This window comes from Homo sapiens, chromosome 18 (genome assembly GCF_000001405.40).
Source record: "Homo sapiens chromosome 18, GRCh38.p14 Primary Assembly".
Taxonomy (NCBI): domain Eukaryota; kingdom Metazoa; phylum Chordata; class Mammalia; order Primates; family Hominidae; genus Homo; species Homo sapiens.
The window spans coordinates 47,748,032-47,754,892 of record NC_000018.10 but is presented as its reverse complement, the minus strand read 5'-3'; the positions used below and the strand labels follow the sequence as shown (position 1 = coordinate 47,754,892).

The following is a 6,861-nucleotide window of genomic DNA, read 5'->3' as shown; positions in this document are numbered from 1 at the left end:
CCCTCCTCTACTTATCTCTGGAGAAGAGACCTGGCCACAGGACTGCCTCCTCTTCCTTCTAACGACTTCTTGGGAGAGGGAGGAACTTGAAGGTAGGGGACATGGGCTTTCAGGACGCCAGGACCAGGTGAGCACTCTCGCACTGCATGGGACCCACCAGCAGAGGGCGCCACAGCACAGCGGAACCCGCGGGAAAGATGGAGACCTGCGGAGAGGGACTCCTGGAGGCTGGAGTGGACGCTGGCAGGGGAGAGCTTCCTCCCCAGGACTTTCCCTTATATTAATACAAGGGAAAGCAGGGCAGATCTCGCCCTGGAGACCCTTTCTGGAGCAGGGAAGGGGACCGCCCCGCTGAGAGCCAGGGCCATGCCACAGCAGCAGGGCTGTGTCGTGGAAGGAGGGGAGTTGCGCCGGGTGCGGGGCGCCCTTGTCTTGAACTGGCCCGGGGCTTCCGGTTTCAGCGGACTGCGGGGGCGGCGGCGCCAGGGCAGGAGGCTGGGGACGGAGGCTGGGATCCGTGTTGGGTGGGACACTTGCTGCTTGAGAAGATGTCCTTCTCCCCCATTCAAGGGCTCACCTGTGGCCAGATAGGGAAGAGCCACGCTTTCAGAGGGTCATGAAGAATTCATCCAGCCTTTGTGCCCGCCTGACCGTGAACTCGAGCCGAGACAATGGCAGGGCTGGGGGCCTTTGTCTCCCTCCCAGCAGAGGCAGTGTCAAGTGTTGGCCACCTGTGGGCGGGGAGCCCCCTCTCTTGGGAGAAGGGCAGTCCTGTAACTTGACGAGGGGCACCAAATTCAGGGCTAATTAATTGGAAATTAAATTTTCCATTTGGCTGGGCCAGAAACAATTGGGGTTGGGGACCTAAAGTCAGGAGAGGCCATTGGAAAGAGGGAAGGTGTATATGGTGTGTGTCTCCGCTAACGTTATACTGTGGAGGAAGCAGGGTGTGCCCCCAAGACGCACAGTCAGAAAATCAACCAACCAACAAACAATTCAACACCAGAAATGGTGGCTGTACTCAGCATGCTTTCCTAGCAAGGAGGCAGGCCAACGAAGGCGCTTGCAAAAGCAAGAAGGCCCCTCATTCCACAGAGTTTCAGGCACCCACCATGTGCTTGACACTGTGCCATGTCCATCAGCAATGCATGTGCTGCCTGAAATTCCACCATTAGAAATTCATTTCTTTGTGACTTTACAGCTGTTTAATTAAGTTAGCATTTATTGAACTCACATTATATGCTGGGTACAATTTCACATGTGGGGCTGCGTCAGTGAACAAAAGGCAAACTGCCTGCTCTTGTGGAGCCGCTAGTCCAGTAGGGAAGACAAAGATAAAGAAATAGATATATTATTTGTAAGGTGAAGGCATTCTGTGTGGGGCAACACGGGCTGTTCTTTTAGATAGGGTGGTCAGGGTAGGCCTCATGGAGGGGAACTTGGGCAGCCATCTGAAAACTGTGATGGAGTTAGCCGTGTGGCTGTCTGCGGGAGGGCATTGCAGGCAGAAGGAAGGGCAGTGGTGCAAGATGGGACTGTGCTTGGTATCTGTTGAGTGGGCCAGCCTGGCTGGAACAAAATGAGCAGGGAGGAGAAATGTAGAAGCTGTGGTTGGATTCGAGCATGTGGGGCCTTGGAGGCCATTGAGAGGACTTTGGCTTTAATGGTGAATAAGATGGGCTGTGGGGGTTTTGAGCAGGGAGGGACCTGATTCTACCCATGTTTCACCAGGTCATTCTGGCTGGCATGTGGCAGGTGGAGGGATAGAGGCGGGGACATGGGGCAAGTGTGGAGGACAGTTAGAAGCTACTGCAATGGTCCAGGTGTGAGATGGCATCCCCAGACCCCATCGGCGATGCTACTGCCTCTGTGTTTGGTGGTGGGGCTGGTCCCTCATCTAAGTCCTTCTCAGCCCTAATAGAGATGCCCGCACCTGCCCCACCTGGCTGTGCCAAAGCCTGCCCTGGAATTGAGATGGTGACACCCTCCCTGCCCTGACCCTTGCCCTTGAGAGAAGCCTCAGATCCTGTCTAGTGGTCCAGAGGCCTGGTTCTTCCTCCCAGCTCTGACTCTGAGTGTTTCCAGCCATTTTTTTCATACCTCTGTGCTTCAGTTTCCTCACTATAAAACTGATAAGTGGCCAGGCGCGGTGGCTTATGCTTGTAATCCCAGCACTTTGGGAGGCCGAGGCTGGTGGATCACGAGGTCAGGAGATGGAGACCATCCTGGCTAACATGTGAAACCCCGTCTCTACTAAAAATACAAAAAATTAGCTGGGCGTGGTGGTGCGCACCTGTATTCCCAGCTACTTGGGAGGCTGAGGCAGGAGAATTGCTTGAATCTGGGAGGCGGAGGTTGCAGTGAGCCAAGATCATGCCATTGCACTCCAGCCTGGGTGACAGAGCAAGACTCCATCTCAAAGAAAACAACAAAAAACAAAAAACAAAAAACTGATGAGTACATTGCCTGTTCTAGGCAATTGCCTGTTCTAGGCCAGGCATGGGGGCTATAGACATGAGTAGGCTCTCCAGGAGTCTGTGGGTCCTGCAAGAGGGCAAAAAGGAAACAGAAGCATGGGACAGCATAGGTATCAGGGACTCTGTATTATTTTAAAAGTGTGCAAGGAACATGTGGGAAGGAAAGACTGGACCGATTCTGCCTGGAGCAGGGAGAGAATGCTTCCTGGAGGAGGCAGCTATTAAACTGAGGCAGGAAGGAGAAGTCAGCGTTCACTAGGCAGACAGTAGGAAATGGTGTATCTGGCAGAGAACAGCAGGTGCTAGGGCTTGGAGATGCAAAAGTGACAGTTAAAAGATATCACCTTAAAATTATTGAATTTTAGAGCCAGAAGGGACCTTGGAGATCATGAAATCTAGTGGGTTTTCAAACATGTTTTGGTCTTATTTCAAGCATATGTAGAATTCCATTGTATACACCAGTTAATATTAATAGCTAACATTCATTGAGCGTTTACCGTATGCCAGACACTTTACCTGTGTTAATTCAATTACTTTTCCCAACAATCCTTTGAGTTAGGTTACTACTAACATCTTAATTTATAGATGAGGAAAATGAGGCATAGAGGAGTTAAGAAACTTGCTCATGGTCACACAGTGTCAGTGAAAAGGCTAGGAATTGAACCCAGGTAGCCTGGTTCCTAGCCTAGGCATGTGGTTACCAGGCTGTATGGCCTCTGTAGATGTGAAGGTGGAGCTGCTTGTTTAAGGAGGGGTGGTACCCAAAAGGCCTTGTCCCCTCCTCATCCACACATTTCCCGCTGAGACCCATGGATATAACCTGCCAGCAAGAGGCTCCCTCTGAAACCACTGATTTAGATCAATCATATGATGGAGAAGCCATATCTGTCAGGTTATGCCATAGATTCCAAGGTTGTCCTGTAATGATGAGTAAGCCAGGGAAGGCTTTCTGGGGAGGGAGTGCCCATTTCATGTCATTAACACCCATTCTCTAACCATGTGGGGTGTTTTCTAGCAAAAGCTTCAGCCTTGTGGGGAGGATGCATGGGGGTTGGCAGGACAGCACATGGCTTGGTTTCCAGCCAGGACTCCTTGGTCGGTTTTCTTCAGCACTGAAGTACTCAGGTCCCAGGCCTGAGGGCAGAGGCAGGAGGAGCAAGACTCTCAGCGGACTCCATGTGGTTGATGATTGGCAGGTGGAGATGAGGAGCATGTGGGAAGTCTGCAGGTCCCAGGCAGAAAGTGCACTGCCAGGGCATCAGTGCAGGTCCCGGACATCAGTGCAGCGCCAGAGCATCAGTGCAGGTTCCGGGCAGGGCATCAGTGCAGTGCCAAGGCATCAGTGCAGTGGGTAGGAGGGACAACCCCCTTCACACTGACCGCCCCCCTCAGCTTGCTTTAAAACAGAAGAGGGTGGGATTTTGCCTTGGTGTCGGGAAAGGGCACGGTTATGTGAGGGCTGGTGGACAGGGGAGCAGTAGTTTGATTCTTGTTGGAGGCCACCCCTCCCAGTTCCCCTTACTGAGGGATTGGGGGGTACTAGAAACCCTCTGAGCTTCCAGGTCCTCATTCTAAGCTTCTAGTGTCAGCTTCCAGGGGCCAGTGGAGACCCTGCCTCCTCCAGGGTTCTTTCCTGACCTCCCAGCCCGTAGGGTCCTCGGTCCCTTGGGGCATCACTAGATCCCTCTCTGGTTCTTGCTGGTACTTTTGGCCACAGCTTTACACCCTGCTTTCCCATCCCTAGGTGCTGTTTCCCCCAGGTGGGCATCCAGCCTGTTCCAGGTATTGATTCATCCAGCATTTAGTGAGTGGCTACTCCAGGCGTCAGGCACCAAGAGGGGCCTGCCCCTCAGCAGCTCCCAGTGTGGTGTGTGTGTGTGTGTGTATGTACATGTGTGTATGTCTATATGTATGTGTACATGTATATGTATGCATATATATGAGATGTGTGCATGTGTATACGTGTGCATGTGTGTATGTATATGTGTATATGTGTGTATGTGTATATGGGTGTATGTGTGTGCATATCTTTGTATACATGTGTATATGTGTTTATATCTGTGTGTATGTGTGTATATGTATGTGTATGCATGTATATGCATGTGTGTATAAGTGTATGAATATGTGTGTATAAATGTATGTATATGCATATGTGTATAAATGTGTGTATGTATATGCATATGTGTATATAAATGTGTGTATGTATATGGGTTTATAAGTGTATGTATATATGTGTATGTGTGTATAAACGTGTGTATGTATGTATAAGTGTGTGTATGTATATGTGTATGTGTGTATGTATGTGTATGTGTGTGTATGTATATTTGTATAAATGTGTGTATGTATATGTGTGTGTATGTATATTTGTATAAATGTGTGTATGTATATGTATGTATAAGCATGTATATGTATGTTTATGTATATGTGTGTATATGTGTGTATGTGTGTATATGTGTGTGTGCATGTGTGTGTATATGTGTGTATCTGTGTCAGACTGACAACTGAGCAGGGAGACCAAGTCAATGACTGTGGTTTGGTCTGAGGAGGGCTGAGACACACACAGGCTGAGGGCCCAAACTTACCCTGAAAACTGCGGCCGAGCCCAGTAGCGGCCATCCCAGTAGCAGGTATGGGAGGCTCTTGTTAACGACCCTATCAGTGGTCCGCAAATCCACCAGAAAGGCGTAGCGTCCTTGTTAATTTCAGGCCTCTCAAAAGCAGCCCTGCCCAGCCTGTCCTGGCCCTCTCCCCTGAACATGTCATCCCTAAAATCTTGACCTCCTACACTTAAGGAGGGCCCTCCTTCCCTCCATCAACCCCATGCCCAAAGCAATCCCCTAAATCCACAGCATCCCGAATTCCAGTAACCCTTTAGAGGTTCGCGCATCCCATTACTGTTTTGGCCCTGTCCTGTCCTGCGTGGGCCAGCCAGTGTGATGTTGGTTCCTTAGCAGCCCTGGGGAGAAGCAGAGGGCGGGGGGCGTGGGGAGAGTCGAAGGAGCCATCCTGGATCCGTAGGCCTCCCGTCCGTCCGCGGGTCAGTGCGGCATCGCGGACACCAGGGGGCGCCAGAGCGTCGGGTTTCGCGCGGCTGCCCTTCGCAGTCCAGACGGCGCGGCGCGCGGCGGCCGCCAGGGGTCAGCAGAGCTCAGGGCCGCGGGCGCGAAGCGCGGGGCTCAGGGCTGGGCGGCGGCAGCTGCGTTCCCGGCTCCGAGCGCCGTTCTCTGTTAGGAGGGTAATTTAGAGCAATTACACCGATTATTATTGCTTTTCTAATTAGTGCTTTTCCTACAGAATTAGCCGAGTGTTTATTAGGAGCTGCTTGTTGCCAGCCGCTTAACTGCTTCGCTGCCGGGCGCGGGCGAGGGGAGGGGCGCCGCGTGGGGCTGCCTGGTTATGTGGTTTCGCATAAAAGCACGGATTAAATATTCATTCTCCTTTGTTACATATAGCATTAAATTTTTATCAGCTGTATGTTTTCCCTGAAGTTTTCCCTGCGTGTTAACGTTCAGGCGGACTGCAGAGGAACTCCTGGGCCTTGGCTCGTGGGGAGGACAGATCTGTGATCCTGGAGGCCAGAGGGTTCCCTCTGACATCTGTGACACCGTTAGACTTTTCCCAAGCGTGTGTCCCCGGATCCTTCTAATACCGCTGCGACGGAAGCAGGATGGATGGGGAAACTGAGACCCGCGGTGAGGGGTCTTGCATGACACTCCCAGGGCTGACACAAACCAGATTGTGGGGTCCGGCACGGAGTCTCTACCACTGTCATCTTTGGGACCTTCTAAGTCTTCAGGCCCCTCGGGAACCTCCAGCGTCACCCTGGCCATGCAGTGCCATGTGGGTGGGCCCAAGCCTCCCCTCTCACAGGAACACAGGCTTCAAACTTTTCCCAGCTCTATCCATCTAAGCCCTGCCAGGAGGGGGTCGGATACCTACGGTGCTCCTGGATTCTGCCACCTCCCGTGCGGGTGAACCTTCTGGAGCGCTTGACCCAGAGAAGTGGCTACACTTGGGGCGGGAGGCAGAGGGGAGAGATTTGGGGTTTATTCAGTGCACTCCCCTTTATGGCGAGTTAATTGTTACTTGCTTTGCCTCCAGGAGGCGGGGGACTCTTCTCACTTCACCAGTCCTGGGGAACCCATGTGAGAAAAACTAGAGGCACAAATGCGCCCACAGCAAACCAGAGGGTGTGGTTTGTACTGCCCGGCCTTGGTTCACGGTTCAAAAGGCTTCTTGGAAAACCACTGCCCCGGTGCATTCAAGTGTTTGTTTACAGCTCATTAACTACTTGATGGAAAGGTTGGGGTGGGGGAAATATTGACAGAAAATCAATCAGAAATGAAGATTAACGATCTCCAAAATATTCCTGTGGGTCCATAGG

General features: G+C 51.8%; 1 annotated feature.

The window, feature by feature from the left end:
- Nucleotides 5,527–5,706: a silencer, noted in NCBI's record as "silent region_9426". NCBI's record gives its function as "represses an Ori minimal core promoter by ATAC-STARR-seq in GM12878 lymphoblastoid cells {active_cell/tissue: GM12878}" and the evidence as "EXISTENCE:reporter gene assay evidence [ECO:0000049][PMID:35858748]".